Source organism: Homo sapiens, chromosome 12 (assembly GCF_000001405.40).
Source record: "Homo sapiens chromosome 12, GRCh38.p14 Primary Assembly".
Classification (NCBI taxonomy): domain Eukaryota; kingdom Metazoa; phylum Chordata; class Mammalia; order Primates; family Hominidae; genus Homo; species Homo sapiens.
This window is the reverse complement of record NC_000012.12, coordinates 5,556,124-5,572,999: the sequence shown is the minus strand read 5'-3', so window position 1 is coordinate 5,572,999 and position 16,876 is coordinate 5,556,124. Positions and strand designations below refer to the sequence as shown.

The 16,876-nt window shown below is 46.4% G+C and overlaps 1 protein-coding gene across 3 annotated transcripts in view, besides 1 other annotated feature; it reads left to right on the top strand.

The window, feature by feature from the left end:
• The window catches only part of ANO2 (anoctamin 2), a 383,578-nt gene extending 373,233 nt beyond the window's left edge, over nt 1–10,345 (top strand). For all 3 annotated transcript variants that reach the window (NM_001278597.3, NM_001364791.2, NM_001278596.3), the window contains 2 exons: nt 7,337–7,442; nt 9,432–10,345. In NM_001278597.3, the coding sequence (NP_001265526.1) occupies nt 7,337–7,442; nt 9,432–9,701 (376 nt within the window). In that variant the 3' untranslated portion in view covers nt 9,702–10,345. The remainder of the gene's footprint in view (nt 1–7,336; nt 7,443–9,431) is intronic.
• Nucleotides 277–778: an enhancer, noted in NCBI's record as "OCT4 hESC enhancer chr12:5681388-5681889 (GRCh37/hg19 assembly coordinates)". NCBI's record gives its function as "activates a minimal SCP1, AML or CMV promoter by ChIP-STARR-seq in naive H9 embryonic stem cells {active_cell/tissue: H9 hESC(naive)}" and the evidence as "EXISTENCE:reporter gene assay evidence [ECO:0000049][PMID:30033119]".
• Nucleotides 10,346–16,876: the final 6,531 nt, after the last annotated feature.

The following is a 16,876-nucleotide window of genomic DNA, read 5'->3' as shown; positions in this document are numbered from 1 at the left end:
TGTGGATCAGATTGAGCTTTCTTGTATCTGCCTTCAGAGTCACTGGATTTTCCGGCCAGCTATAAGGCTCTGATAGTTGTCTCCCCATTATTCCCATGCAAGTAGATAAGATCATGGCTTGTTTGTGGCCCGTTTTAGAAAAAAATCTGACACCGAGTGGCAGAATTATCAGTGGGCACATGCATAGAAAGTGCACTTTCATTCTATATTTCTGCCAAAAAAATTTATTTGCAGAAAATAAATCATCCCAAGATCAAGCTGAAGTGACTTTGAAGCATCCATCATTTTTCCTTCCTCTCTCAGTACCAGTGAGGATTACAGATTCATTAGGCAAATATTTTTGAGACCCTACTAAAGGCTTGGCATTGGTTGTATAATAGGGAGCGAGATATAGTGCATCCCTCAAGAACTCTAGATGGAGCAGACAATAAGTAAACAAGGAATTAAAATTAAAATACAGCTTTAATGATTGACAATAGGGCAACAGCAGAGAGCTAAGGGATCCCTAAGGAGGGAGGCCCTGCACCTAACACAGACTTAAGTGTTTAGGGGATTTTCAAGGGAGATGAAACCTGAAGAATGAACAGTACAAGAATGGCCATGGAGACAATCACATTGAAACTCCTCACTCATGTGGCCATGTCAGCCTGGCTGGTAAGTGGGGTGGGGAGGGTGGTAGGTCATGGGGCAGCAAGGGGTGTGTCAGGTAGTGATGGAGGTTCCGAGAGAACACTGTATTCCAGGGAGACAGGCTCAGGTGAGAGGGGTAAGCTATGAGAGAGGAGGCTGAAAGAAAAAAACAAACTCCATATTAAGGAGAGGATGCTGGTCCTGTTGAGGTGCGTGGAGTCTCTCTTAGGGCCACAGGGTACCACTGTAGGGGTTTCAGAGGGCAGTGATGAGATCAAGCTTTTTATTGGTGTTACATCTCTGCCTACAGTGTGAAGACTATTGGGTTACACTGAGGGTTATGTTTAACATAAAGAGATGCCCTACTGTGAAATATAGGTAGATGTTCAGAAAATAAGGTCAGCATGTGATCTAGACATAATATGTCAAATAGGTGTGCTCTGGGGGCTGCGTTTCCTAGATTGATAAGGGTTGTTGATGGAAATCTCTGCCTCATATGAGTCCTATCCACTGCCTGCTGTGTGAACTTGACTGGGTCACTCAATTCTCTGGAGATTTAGAAAGCAGAGGCATAACCTCTATGGATGTCTTTCTAAGTCAGGAATTGAGATCCTTGAGATAATTCCGTATACATATATGTGTACATGGAAGAGAGAGAGAGAGAGAGAAGAAAGAGAGAGGGGAGGAGGAGGAGAAGGGACTATGATAGAGAAGTATTTTGAGAAACAGAGATAACTCTTCAGCTAGTCCTAGAGCCAGTTAAAACTGCTTCCGTGGTGGGAAACAAGGTTTGCCATGATTTTCTGGCAAATAGCGTTGGGAACTTGTTGACCCTTCTTATTCTTAGCTTTCAGTGACCTCTGGAGATAAATGTGGTCAAATAAAACTGAGGTCTCCGACTCCAACCCAGCCTCGCCAGGGATAGAGGTATCTTAAAAATAGCAATAAAAGTTAGCACAAGTCTCCGGCTGCCCGTTTGAGATGCATTCCCAGCATTTTGGAGCGATGCTTGCCTCTGTCATCTGACTGCTCTGGCAGGGCTGCTCCGTAAACAGTCCCGTGACATCAATCTGCAGGCATGATTAGCAGCATTTGACAGGGTCGAAGGGCCGCCACGTCCTGGAGGACGGATGTAGGCTTGACTTCCCAGCTCAGCTGGAAGGGAGCATAGATATCTTGTCTCAGAGCTCGAAGAGCCTACCTGGGCATTGTCAACCCAGCGGGTCTGCTTGGAGGTGTTTGTTGAGCATCCAGCAGCAGCTTCTGTGGATGGCTTCTGCCAGGTTTTCCTGCAGGTCCTAAGGGCTTGCACACCCCGTATCCTGACAAAAGTCTTTGAAGAGGGGTGCTCCCTTCCAGCCCATGGCTGCCTCCCATCTGCTTCCCACCGAAACCAGAGGCTGTTAGCTTTTCTGGGTGCCACATTTCCTGATTCTTATCAACCACTGGATTGACATGCTACTCATTAGTTCCTAATTGCCTGTACTGTTTTCCTTTGTTAAGGGTCAATTCCAGGAGGCAGTTTTAAGTAGCTCAGATGGTATGAAAATATTGTATGTAGTTGTGTTCAGCATTAACATGACATTAATTTCCACTGGGGCTACTAAAATGTTTTTTACATGCCACTATTTGGAGTTGAGAAATGCATTTACTAGCTGATTCATTACATAACAAAAGCTCATTAAAAAGCTGTTACTGATCGTTGACTTCAGCACTGTCCCTGCCCACAGTGATTTTGTGTTGTGATGAATTGTGGCAGATGTCACTGTCACTAGTCACCCTGCAAGTGAGGACAGGATGAGGACATCTGAGCCCTGAGTCTCTCTCCTCTCTGTACCTCAGTTTTTTCATCTGTAAAAATGGAGACTTTGGAATAAAAAATCTTCAAAGATTCTTTTCTTTTTTTTTTTAAACTTCAGGTTTAATGACATGTCATTTATTAATCTAGTTCTACAAAAATTCTAAACATTACAGGTAACCACTCCACCTCTGTTTTGCCTCCACCCTAACCCCTGCCCAACCCCAGGCATCCTTCCAACAGTAATAGGGTGATACTTACGGGTGAATGTTCTCTAGGCATTTTTCTATGCATTAACATAGTATTAACTTGTAGGACTTTTAAGGTATTGTTTCATGGGTTTGTTTTATAATGAAATATATTTTGAGTTAATGGAAATCTTATTTAAGTCATGTACAAACTCAATTCAATCAATGTGAGTTTTCACAAAGTTAGAACAATCTAGATAAAATATTAACATAATTTTAAAGCTAAAACATAATGTTGATTTCTGTATCACTTTCATTTATTATATGAGTCTGTTCAAATTAACATAATTTTGCTCAGGAAAGCTTACTATAAAAATGTACTTGAATCAACTGTGTATTGCCATTAATTACATTCATCTTTTACCATTTTGAACTTTTTAATTGTAAAAGTAATTAATTTCATAGACACATATTGTGTATGTATATAAGAAGAAAAGTGTCACTTCTCAGCCCCCACCCCAGCTGTTCTATCCCAGAAGAAACTGTTGTGTTCATTTTCTGCAAAAGCTCCGGAAATCATATTCACCTAGATTGTCTTATTTAATTCTCACAGTGTCTTTCTTTAAAATGCAAGGTATACACACAAGCAGACACACACGCACACACATCTATTATTCACTCCTGGCTGGGATTGAGACAGCTCCTCTATGCTCAGCGCTGGGATACACATTTTGGGAGTTCCACTCTGTAGATCAGGGACCTAGGTTCGGAAATGGGGAATGACTTCCTCGGTCTCTTACAGGTAGTAAGTGGCGTAGCTGCTCCAGGTGCAGACTAGCTTTTTAGACAGGCTAGTTGTCTCATTATTGGAAGTCTCTCCTTATTAGAAAACTCAGGGGAACTCTCAAAATTTATGTTATTTAAGCCTCAAGGAAAATGAAGGAGGACTGGAGGGGTGAGGGTGAGATCCAGGAACATCCCTAAAATAATATGCTGGGGATAAAACTCTGCTTCTCTTTGGGGGCACGGCTGGCAGCTGCAGGAGTCTGACCAGTTGTGGGGGCTCACCCAGTGCTGGGGAACTCAGTGGGACTTTGGGAGGCCCGAGCTCCCCAAGCCATGGGAACGGGTCTGTTGTGGAGCTGTCTGGCAGCCTCCACCCACCAGCCAGCACTTGCCCATTTCATGCTATTTACCTGGACAGAGGTCCTGAGAGAAGCCCTGTATGGCTGTGCCCTTGGCTGACTCCTGATTTGCACTAAAACTTGCAGCATTTAGTGCTTACATGTTCAAAAATCCTTCTGGAAAGCTAGGAGGAACTGGAAGCCGTGATCTACATGCTCTGTCCTCTTTTAACAGAAAAGGTGTATTCCATAAGTAACCTCCAGTAAAAAGAGAAAGAATAGTTGCTATTTATTGGGTTCCTCTGATGGGCCAGATAGTGTGCGGAGCACTCGGCGTTGACCCTCCGTCTTCAGAACAACTCTGTGATGGAAAGTTCAGGCCCACTTTATAGATGAGAAAGCTGGGCATCAGAAGGTTAGGTAACTTGCAAGAGGACAGAGAACGACAGTGCTGGACAGGGCTTTCAACCCCTCACCTGCTACCTCCAAAGCACGAACTGTCGCCAGTGCTAAGCACTGGGTTTAGAAACAAAACACGCAGCATCACGGTGGTGGAAATTATTCGGTTGATTAGCCACTCTCTTTGGTGAACACTTCTATTCTTAAAGCTAATTGTCTCTTTGTTTAATTAGTGTCTTCTAAGTTACTCAGTGAAACATTTGATAAGCCCGACTTCTTAGGGTAAAATTTAAAAACAATTGTGAAATCTGAACTTACTGTTGGAATGTAAACAACGAGTCATTTACCTGGTGGTAGGGGCTTAGGAGAATCAAGGTTTTTCAAACTATGAGTCATGGTTCATTAGTGAATTATGAAATCACTTTAGTGGGTCATGATCGGCATTTTGAAGAATAGGGTGGGTTGGCCAGCACGGGCGGATCAGGAGGTCAGGAGATCGAGACCATCTTGGCTAACACAGTGAAACCACGTCTCTACTAAAAATACAAAAAATTAGCCGGGTGTGGTGGCGGGCGCCTGTAGTCCCAGCTGAGGGACTGAGGCTGAGGCAGGAGAATGGCGTGAACCTGGGAGGCGGAGGTTGCAGTGAGCCGAGATCACGTTCCTGCACTCCAGCCTGGGCGACAGAGCGAGACTCCATCTCAAAAAAAAAAAAAAAAAAAAAGCATAGGGTGGGTTAGGATCAGATAGAGTAGAATAGGAAAATACTAGTGCATTCTAGTGCATTGCACACAACAAAGTATGTTTTGTGTAATTTTTATTGCAGTCTGTGTATGTGCATGAATGTAAAATGTATTTCTCACTGTAGGTCATAGTTTTTATAAAGTTAGCTTTGGAAAGAAATGTGAACAGATGAATATTAAATTGCTCACTGTTCTTTTCTGTGGCATGGCTTACCATCAGTTCCTAACGGAGCTACACTTAGCCTATCTGCATCGAGCTATTTTCAAGTAGAGTTTTCTGAACAGATCTCTGTGTTAGTCTTTCTGCAGATCCTCAATTAGATGGATATGCTTGTTAAACTTAAAACATGTTTTAGACACTGAGGGAGGACAAAGTGACATTTCCAAAAGCTGGGGTGAGTTAATAGCAGAGGTGGAACCAGAATTAGATTATTTATGGATTCTTTTCAGACTGGAAAAAAGAGGGGTGAGCAGTGGCTCGCATACTGAGGTCAGTGAGCAGCTGTTCCTGCAGAGATGCAGCTAGAGAACAAGAGAAATGGACTTTCATTGTAGCAGTAGGGATTGGGCTGAACCCAGGGAAGGATTTCCCCATGGTAAGGAGTGTGCGTGTGTGCACACATGTGAGTGTGTGTATGTGTGTGTGGCACCCTTCTCTGGAGGTCTCTAGAAGAGTGAGATAAATTGCTGTTGCCATGGCGTCCTGTCTGGGGGCGACGGGAGGATAGGTGAGTCTGAGGTTTTTCCCACCCCAAGATGTTCTTATTCATTTAGCCACGCTCTCCCTCTCTGCCATCAGCAAGGATAATCTGGAGCTGGCCATGTTTCTGTCCTCAGCTGAGGACGGTTATGATGAATCCCGTGGTGCTCTGCTGGGCTGCAGTTAGCTTTGCTTTTCATCCGGATGTCAAACCAAGCTTGCGGCAGCTGTGATCAGCTGTTGGGAGAGGGGGAGTCGGGCAGGGAGAGGGTAGCTCCTGGCCTCCTGCCAAGCCCTAGTCGAGTCCCCAGTGTCCACCTCTCAGTTGTGTCTTTCTGTTGCTGATTCTATCACTGCGCTCTTTTTTATCTTTGTGTGTGCGTCTCTTTTTCTCTTCCTCTTTTTCTCTTCTCTTCTTCTCTCATCTCTCTTTGGACAATGGAAAACAAACTAGCTTTTGCATGGACCTTTTAGAGCAGCTAATTCATTTATGGCAGGAGAAGGGACCAAAGAGCACCTACTTGTGAATGTCCCCTAAACTGCGGTCACTGGTAAGATGCCCTGTGATAATGGGAAGAAAGCCTAGATTCAGCCAGACTCGCATTCCTACCCTGACTCCACCTTTACTGGTCACGAGACTCTGGCCACACACTTCAACTTCTCCAAGCCTCAGTTTCCTCCTGTGTTATGCTGGGGTAACAATGCCTGCCTGAGGATGTTGTCGTGAAGATGAAATGTGAAACCTTCCAGAAAAACCCTTTGCTCAGGGATTGACCCGGGCAGAGTCCCTACCTGCCTTCCTTGGCAGCCACTATCATTGCTTGGTGGCCTGACACCACCCACCTCTTTCTCTGGCCCAGGATGAGCAAAGATTTGTTGAATTCCATGGAGAAAACTGTTCCAGGAAGGGTCATAGTTCTGGTACCAGCCCCTTGTCATTTTTCCAGGCTTAGAAAAATGTGAGTCTGAGAAAATGAGCTAGTATTCACATGAATCATTCTGGGATGGGGGTGAAAAGGCAAGGGTGAGGGAAAACCCAAGGCTTCTCTATGGGTCTGAGAAAGAGGCATGAAATCACGTCAGGCATTAACATTTTGTAGTTTAAACCATGCAGACAGATCAGGAAGATGATTAGCAAAACAGAATACTGATCAACTGTGATGCTTAATGACCCTCCCATCCCAAATTCACTCAGCCTCCAGCTTGGTCTGGATCAGCCTTCTTTTTGGTTCAAGAATGCAGCCATGAAGCAAGGCCAGCCCCTCTAGTGGCCGTAGTCCTGAAGCATCTGGAAGGGGAAGAAGCCCAAGACTGCCTGCTGGTGTCTGCATCTTCCCCAACCCCCCCGGCTGCAGAGCACCATTCAGGGTGTCTGGGTCTCCCCTACCCACACAGAGGCCACAGGCTAGTGGGAGGCCCAGGTGGACCCACTGGCCTGGACTACCCTCAGATGCCCTGGGCTCCTTTGGGAGTTGATGCCTGACACCAAAGTAAGCTTTGGGAGCTATTGGAGAGGGTAGTAGAAATGTCTTTTTAGGACATTTCTAGGCTGACATTGGCTTTCTTGGACTTTAGTCCTTTTTGGAAATTTGTTGGTTAGGCCATAGATTCCCCCCACTTCCCCCTGCTTCTCAAGTCAATGCCAAGGGCATGCGTGCCTGATGCTCCAGCCAGCCCTCGAGGTTTCACCCAGAGAATGACCACCCTTTTCTCCATGCGCTCCTGATCTTAACACCACATTTCTCTTTGGGCAGGTTTAAGGATTACCGAGAGCCGCCATGGGCCCCGAACCCTTATGAGTTTTCGAAACAGTACTGGTTTATTCTGTCCGCCCGTCTGGCTTTTGTCATAATCTTCCAGGTGAGTTGCTGGGATAGGGAATAGCCCATTCGAATCCGGGCTGCAGGAGTAAGGACACTGCACTCATTGCTTGCACCTACCTCCAGGTTCCGGTGGTACTCTGTGACATAAGAAAGCTTCATGTGTGGCAGGCAGAAGTGAGGGCTCCTTTCCGGGTTGAAGCAGGAGGACTCTTGAGAGGGCTTTCTTTAATGGGTGGACTTTGCAGACAGAGGATAAAACACAGTGTAAGGTTACAAGACAGATGTGGAATAAGTTGCAGGGTGGAGATAGATTCCTGTTTAAACCTAAGGCAAAGAAAGGAAAAGGGCCATTGAAACCAGAGTCCCAGCCTGGGGCAGACAAACAGCCCCATCTCATCTCTGCAGCCATGAAAGAGCTCAGGTTTGGAACCTTTCTTCTTGCACTCTGGGCTCCCTCCTTTGTTAGTGTTGTTTTAGCCACTGAGACATCTGGTGAGAAGGGCCCCCAGAGCCATCGAGCCATCCCTGAATGAATAGCAAACTCGAGCCCAGTGATTCCTATCTGGGACAATAGCCACAGCTCCAATTGCATCGCTGAGATTCTCTGAGCTCGAGGGCCCCCAATTCCCACTCTGGGTGCCCCCGGTCTTCAAGCAGGGCTGGAGAACGAGCCCAGATCCTTTTCTCTTTGGCTCCCTCAGGCTTTTGTATTCCCTGAAGGCAGATCTCTGGGGGGCTCTAAAGTATCCTGCCCCCAGACCCCAGCCCAGAAAGTGGAGAAGCCCATCGGCTAGTCTTTCACCTAAAGAAGACAGCCATTCTTCCTCTGGAGAGATGGAGGCGATATGTTTGAATGATCGCTCAGACATCCCCTGCTGCCCCACCCCCAGGAGTCTCCTCACTTTCCCGTATGTCACATGTCACATTTCACTCACACAGGAAGGAGTGGATTCAGAGGAAGAGTGTGTGACTTGGTGAAGCAGCTCCCAAGCACCCAAGATGCCCAGGAGCCTCTGGAAGCAGCAGTTGGTCCCCAGTGTCTTCCCCTGAACCCCTAGGAACATGTAGGGTTCAAGGGCTCAGTCCCAGTCTCAGAGGGGAAAAGGCATGTGAGCGTGCAACTGGCAGCCAGGGAAGTGTATCACAATGGGAGGAGTGTGTTGGGTAAAGCTGGGTGAAGTGTGGCCTGGGGAAATGGATGGGAATCAGATGCATTCATTGAGCCATGCCAGGCATTGTTGTCCTATATTCATTCATTGAGACAGTAAGTGCTCTGGGGAAAAGGTAGTCCTAGCCTACTGTGTGCACCAGCAAAGGGATGTGGCTTAGCAGCCAGGAGGAAGTCCACTGCAAGTGTGTGCCAAAGCCTAGACCCAATCGGGGCAAGCTGGATGCAGGGGTTCCCAGACAGGCAGGGTTAGCCGAGGTGGCTGCAGTGACTGAGACCGGTATAAGGTGAATGTCAGCAGTGGGTTGGGTCAGTGAAGGCCCGAAGTCAAGGCAAAAACCTCAAGTCCGTCTCTAGTGTAGAGGATAGAGAGAGCCAGATGGAGGGAGGAGAGGAACAAGTGGCACCGTGACAGCCCAGGAGAAGCCACTGGGCTTTGTGACCACTTGCTAGAAAGCCACTTTCCATTTTCTAAAGCAGGGAGGGCCTGGAGGCTTAGAGGCCAAGAAGCAAGAACTGGACACATGGGAACACTCTGAAGATGGTGTGGGGGCACAAGTCCTGGGGAAGGGGAGAAGCAGTAACTACTACTGATGGAGTCCTGCTCTGTGCCAGGCACTGCGGCAGATGCTCCACATGTATGAACCCGTTTCATCCTGACAACCACTCCAGGGTAGGCAGTGTTTCCGCTCCATTTTATGGGTGAGGACACCAAGGTAGAGTTATGCTCACTGGTTGCGATCACTGGGCTGGTAAGTTGCAAAGCCAGGATTGACACAGAGGCATTCTGCTCCAGGGCCGCCACCTCCCCAGGCCGGGCCTCTCCAACTCAGCCCCTCTCTCCTTGGCTTTTTGCAGAACCTCGTGATGTTCCTGAGCGTCCTCGTGGACTGGATGATTCCAGACATCCCCACGGACATCAGCGACCAGATCAAGAAAGAGAAGAGCTTATTAGTGGATTTCTTCCTGAAAGAGGAGCATGAGAAGCTCAAGCTGATGGATGAGCCGGCTCTGAGGAGCCCAGGAGGTGGGGATCGAAGCAGGAGCCGGGCAGCCAGCTCAGCACCTTCAGGCCAAAGCCAGCTGGGCAGCATGATGTCGTCAGGCTCTCAGCACACCAATGTGTGAGCAGTTCAGCCTGCAGCAGAGGAGGGCACGGCAGCAGAGACACGCACATGCACGTAAGCATGTTCCTACACCCACATGGCGTGCTGTCTGTCTGCAGGGGCCTGGCTTGATGGGGTCTTGAAGAGGGGGCAGTGTGTAAAAAGAAAGAGCCTGACAGAATGAGTGTAGGAAGGAAGAGAAATGATGCTACATCTCAGAAACTTCAAGCTTAAGTTTCTTTTAGGTCCCCTTTTAAGCTGCATCCTTTTGAGGGATTGGAACCCCACTGGGGTCTCTCCACCCCAGAGTCTCAGGCACCGCGAGCATTCCCATGTACCCTGGGGCACCCTCTTGTACTTCACCATCATTTCTGACTTTGACCAGCTGTAAGAGAAATGCAGTCAGGAGCACAGCATCCCCTACTTACTATCACTACAAGAAAACTGAGTCACTTGCAGTGGGGCTGCCACAGTCTCAGCAGATGCAAATTAAGTTACAAGGCTGAATGGTGCAGCCGCTGGACCTGATAGTAAGGTGCAAAGGTCCAAACCTGGGCTTGTCTCCACTTCACGTCACAAAAACGTTTGGAGCTAAATGCAGATAACCATCATTTTATGAAAGTTCAGATTTAAAATAATAAAATAAATGGACACATTCTTTATAAAGATGCATCTGTTGTCTTTGGTGCCTTGTCTCTCTCTCCTTTCCTTTCTTTTCCTCTCCTCTCCTCTCCTCTCCTCTCATCTCCTCTCCTCTCGTCTCCTCTCCTCTCGTCTCCTCTCCTCTCGTCTCCTCTCCTCTCCTCTCCTCTCCTCTCCTTTCCTTTCCTATTTATTGAGCTTCTACTATGTGCCAGGCATTGTTCTCAGACTGGAGATAGAGCAGAAGATAAAGGAGACAAAATCCCTGCCTCATGAAGCTTACATCCCGGGGAAAGACAGATGATAAGCTAAATGTACAGTGTTTTGGATAGTAATAAGTGCCGTGGAGAAATATCAGGTAAGACAAGTAGACAGGAAGTGTGAAGGCACAGGAGGTAAGGGGTTTACCATTCTAAATACAAATTAATGACAAACCCCGATGGTGAAGAGGTTACATCTTGCAATACTAACATAATCAATTGGTAGCAGCTTCCCAGAGTGCTGTGCTGAGATCATGATGTAAAGTTGGAAGCACGGGCCAAACATCACTCATCATTGCCGTTCATACACCTCAGGCCCACCTGCTGCCCAGAAATCTGTTGCACAATCACTTCATCCTGGTTCCTTGCAGGTCAGCGGGACTAGAGTCCAACGAAATGTCTGAGTGGAAGTTGCAGGGGGGATGGTACTCCAGAGGAAAAATGAGAGCTATGGTTCTGCTGTTTGAGCACACCTGGCAATGTGCGGGCCTGTAGGTGCTGGCTGGTCACCAGTGCTGCCCACCACCTTTCTGATTTCCTCCTAGGAACATGCAGAATTGCACTGACTGCCAAACCTCGCTCAGGAAAGCGGCTTCTTCTTTTGTGGGACTAATAGGACATAGATACAGCTCTTAGTGAGAGCAGTAGGCTAACGTATACCAGGCCACTCCTGTACAGGAAATCTTACAACCAGTTTTAATTTCCTCAGATTTTTTTTTTTAAGACGGAGTTTCACTCTTCTTGCCCAGGCTGGAGCACAACGGTGCAATCTCGGCTCACCACAACCTCCGCCTCCCAGGTTCAAGCGATTCTCCTGCCTCAGCCTCCTGAGTAGCTGGGATTACAGGCATGCGCCACCATGCCTGGTTAATTTTGTATTTTTAGTAGAGATGGGGTTTCTCCATGTTAGTCAGGCTGGTCTCGAACTCCTGACCTCAGGTGATCTGACCGCCTTGGCCTCCCAAAGTGCTGGGATTACAGGTGTGAGCCACCGTATCCGGCCTCTCACATCTTAATATGCAAACTTACCACTTGAGCTGAGGTTCAAACTACAGCAGTATGGAACACTGCATCATTTGACAATAGGCTTTACCTGATTTGGGGAGAGTGCGGTGACCAGTGGGAGGAAGTTGTTATTGCAAGGAGCATTGATGACACGGAGATTCCAGGCCTATCAAAGGAAGCAATCCCCAGGGATGACTGCCAGTGTGGGTGGTGTTGACATTTGCAGGAAGCAGTGACAGTCCATGGTCAAGGTTGAGGGCTGCCTCCACCGCCAAGACACCCACTTGGCTCCAACCGTGCTATCTCCAGGCCCACTGGCTGCTCATGGCTGGTTCAGGACCCACTTGTTTTTCTTCCTCTTTTTTAAATTAAAAGAAACATTTTTGTATCATCATAAAGGTTAAGCTCGCATACCAAGAAATGTTCGGATAGTCCAACAAACAATGAAGCAAATAAAATCACCCACAATCCCCAAATCTATAATTGGCATTGGCACTTGCTGTGTCTTGGAGACTCTCATTCCCCCCTCACACACATCTAATTTCTTTTAACCACAGTTATGCTATTTTAAAGCAGAAAAGTATCTGAGACAAGTCTCAATCAATTTGGAAGTTTATTTTGCCAAGGTGAAGGACATCCCCAGAAGGAAAGAACACGGAATCACAGAAGGTCTGTGGTCTGTGCCTTTTTCTGAAGATGATGTTGAGGGCTTCAATATTTAAAGGTAAAAAGTGGGCTGAGGGTGGGTAAGAGGGAGGGTGTGATCTTGTTACTGAATCCACATGTTACAAGAGAAAAGGAGCAGGTAGGAGAACAGCTGATTTTGTGTTTTTCTGGTGCTCAGTAAATCAGCATTTTACATAAGATAAGGTGAACGTAGAGTAGCTTCCTGTGGAGCTATCTAGACTTTTCTGTGTAGCTGTCTGCTTAGGAGCAAAAGGAAAGGCAGTTTCTTGCATGACTCAGCTTTCAGCTTCATTTTTTCCTTTTGGCAGATTGCTTTGGGGTCCTGAGTTTTTATCTTCCTTTCATGCTATATGTGCTGTCTTTTCATCTTTTTTCACTACATGTGTCTCATCAGTCCTTTTATTCCAATAAACATAGATTCATTCAAAAGTGTGTACTGAGGCCGGGCGCGGTAATCCCTCAGGCCGGGCGCCTGTAATCCCAGCACTTTGGGAGGCCGAGGCGGGTGGATCACGAGGTCAAGAGATCGAGACCATCCTGGCTAACACAGTGAAACCCCGTCTCTACTAAAAATACAAAAAATTAGCCAGATGTGGTGGCGGGCGCCTGTAGTCCCAGCTACTGGGGAGGCTGAGGCAGGAGAATGGCGTGAACCCGGGAGGTGGAGCTTGCAGTGAGCCGATCGCGCCACTGCACTCCAGCCTGGGGGACAGAGCGAGATTCTGTCTCAAAAAAAAAAAAAAAAAAAAAGTGTGTACTGAGCTTCTACTATGTGTCAGCCTCTGTGAGGTGCTTTGGATACATCACCCCACAGAACACAGATTCCTGCCCTCAGGAGCTTATGCTCTGTGTGTGGGTCAGAGAGGCAGAGCAACAGTGAGAGCAAACTACTAGTATACAGTGGGTCAGAAGGTGATCTCTGCTGTGCAAAAGGAAAAAGAAGAGCAAGGTAAGCGTGCTGGGAGTGAGGGTACAGGCTCTCTGGCTGCCACCTCCAGGAACCTCCAAGTGTTCAGCTATCTGGCAGCTGTGGAACCCAGTCATTTTTGGTTTTTATGGAAGCTTCATCAGTAGGCAGGATTGGTTAAATCACTGGCCGTCCTTGAACAACTTAACCTACAGCCCCTCTCCCCTCTCCACATGTTGGGGGTGGGACTGAAAGTCTCAACCCTCTAATGCTGCCTCCGTCTTTCTGGTGACCAGCCCCATCCTGAAGCTACCCAGGGTCTGCCAGCCATCAACTCATTAGCATACGAAATGACACTTCACTTTGGGATTCCACTGATTTTAGGAGTTATATGTCAAGAAACAAGGATGAAGTCCAAATGTGTACTTCACTATATCACAGACCATAGACAGATTTATGCTCGGGAGGGATTCAACTTTCTTCCCCTTTTCCACTAGAAGGAATATAGGAATTTTATAATTTGCCCCCATCCCCAGGCCCAAAGTCTCAGTAGCACTCATGTTACTAGCCAGACCACCAGATGTGCTTGCTTCACCCCAGCAGCGGTAGAGGTTTAGGCTAAGTAAAGAGAACTTTCCAACGGACTTGCTAACCTGGGTGAAGACATGGTAGGTGCACTTTCAATTTAAAAATAAAGCAAACAATGAAGACTCCTTCCCTGAGCTCTTTAAGGAAATAATGAACATTTTTTATTCCATTGTGACATGCAAAAAAAAAAAAATTGTGAGCAAAAATCTGAAACACTGAAGAAAAAGAAATTGCTCATTATCCAATTCCTCCTTTCTAGAAATAATAGTAGTTAATAATTCAGTTTAATTGTGATCCTATGGTATATGTACAATAACATTCATTGATTTGTAATAGCATTTATTTGGTTTAATTATAAAAGTGATCCATGCTCATTGAAGAAGACTTAGAAAATGCAAGAAATAAAATGTCAAGTAAAAAGTTTAAATTACCTGAATTTTTACCTCCAAGAACTAATTTGCAATCAGTCTTTTTTCCCATTCACTTATTTTCATGTACAATTGCAATCACTCCACACACACTAACTTCTAGACTTTGTTAACAGAGACATCTACCAGCCCCAGGTAGACGCTGTTATGAAGGGTTGTCTGTCACTGAGTGGTTTCGCCATTCTTTTCTTATGAAAAACAAAAATAAATGAAATCAACTTGATGGTTGATTCAGATAAATAATCTTAAGGCTATTTTCTTTATGTGCTCTTTGTGCAAAAGAATAGTATAAAGTAAGAGATGAGACGTTCCTTCACGTGCTCTCCTTCACAGCCCTTCCAGATCCAAAGGGTCTACTACATCCCACTTGTGATGATGGAATTATTCTATCCTCAAGAAAGCTTTTAAAGATGGAGAAAATTGCCACTACATCTCTGCTCAATGAAATGGCCTAATTTTGCTTTTCAGTAAGAGAAATAGGATTCTTTTGTTTTGCTAATCCTCCCAGCACAATATTCTAACCTTGCAGGTAGATTAGTCATTGTTAAGAAAAATAGAAAGGGAATGTGCCAGTTGCTCTTCTGAGTGGTCATAAATTGTGGTAGGACATTCTGATAGATGCAGGAGGAAGATAAGGGGGACGGTCCCCGGAGAATCTTCCACCAGCCTGCACTGGGAGGAGGGGGTAGAGACTCGGGAAGTTTGAGCAGTTTGCAGAGGGGAGGAGCCTAGCCTCTCCAGTGCCTGGGTGGTGACCTGGGATTCAATCTGTGAGATGGGGGTCTGTTAACAGGAACTCCTCTCACTTTGCTGAGAGATTCTTTCCTTTTCACCCAATAAACCCTGCCCTACTCACCCTACAATGTGTCCATGTGCCTAAATTATCCCGGGCATGTGACAAGAACCCGTTGTTTTTTTCTACAATTCCAGCAGGCTGTGGAAAGCATTTCCTGGAGCAAGGAAAAGAATGAGATGGGAAACCAAGGGACGAATCTTTGCCCCATAGCTTATTTGAAATATATAGCCATGCAGGGTTTGTGGTTAAAAATGAATTAGGAAAACTCTTTGCTCTTTTTATATTGTCATTTCCGTCCCTTGGTTCACCTGACTACACCTTCAGGTTGAAAAAAAATTAACAAGGTCGTGTTAAAGTTGCCACCAAAGTCCCTCAGGACTTAGGTGTTCATTCCTCAGCTGGTGATGGTCACAGGTGGGTCACTCTGGAATTGCCTCAGCTGTAAGGGAACTGCCCAGGCCATGGTCACTGTCCCACTCTGGGGCAGCCCACATCCAGTGACTCATCACTGCAGGGGGGTAAGGCCCACCTTGCCTTGATTCCAACTCTAAATGCTACTCCAGCTCCAGAGCTTTCTGTGGGATTGGCTGAGGCCTCTGTTGCAACATATTGCAGTTCGACTTCTCCCTCCGCCTAATTCTGCTTCCCTCACTAAGCAGATGCCCCAGGAATCTCTAGCACGCAAGGTCTGCAGGTCTTAGACTCTGCTTTCCAGAGAAACTGACCTAAGACATGGGGTATTTGGGTGGTATATTCTCTGAGCATATACATCTCTGAAATTGCTTTTATGTTGGAACAATGACTTGGCTGGATTTACCATTCTCAGATCACCATTCTTCCTTTCAAAATATTGTGGCTATGGCGATTAATCCACACTCTTCTAGGGTTTCAGAGGAACAGCCTCTGGAAGAAGCCTGATTGATATGCTTTTGTAAGCCTTTTTCCCCTACTGCTTTGGTGCTAGCAGGGTTTTGAAATTTATTCTTGTAACTCAAAAATTTCACTGGGATGTGTCTCCATGTGCGTTTCTTTTATTTAATGTGGCCTAAAATGTAATGATCATATTTGGTCTGCACAGTTACTTACTTTTCATCTCTGAAAAGTATTCTTCCAGCACAGGAACGGATCTCAGCATATCTATTCTGACTGTTTCGGTTGCTTTGGGAAAACACTCCAGTTTTAGCTTGGTTCTCCAGTTTTTAATCTTCAGTCCACCATCTTCTTTCTCAACATGTGATGTCCTTGTCCCATTCCCCTATACTTCAGAAGCACACTCCTCCCAGTGTTACTCTTTTCTCTGTCCCCTTCCCCTGAATCAATCTATCCTCCCCACTATGTTTTTCAAGCAGCATCTGAGCTCTTACTCATACGAAACTCTCACGGTTCCTCTGGAAGAGAGTAGGGCTAGCCACCCATAGCCCTACTCACCTGCACTTCCTTTGCCAATGATGCCCTTACCTTTACCTGCAGTGTCTATTTTCCAACACACATTCCTTGGCTAGTGAATCAGGAGGCTGGGCTGGATAAGCTCTAACATTCATTCTTGTTCTGTCAAGTACAATCCAACAGGTTCTCGGCAGTATGGCTGAAGTGAAGAGTGTGGATCACTGTCGATGACTCAGTCTTACCTTCCACACTGCCATCGTCTTCCGCAACTCAGGCCCTGGGCATTTGTGTCTCAGATAGCCCAATCCAAATAAGTGGGGGTAATCATTGACCGTGATTTTCAGCCTTGCCCTGCCCTATGGCAGTATCTGATCCGCTCTGCTACAGCAGAGGGCGCCAGAGAGCAGAACCCGCCACTTCCGGCACAGCCAGGAAGGTCTGGAAAGCGCAGCCGACATTTCCTCAGAAGGCAGTCACAATTAAAAAATTAAAAAATAA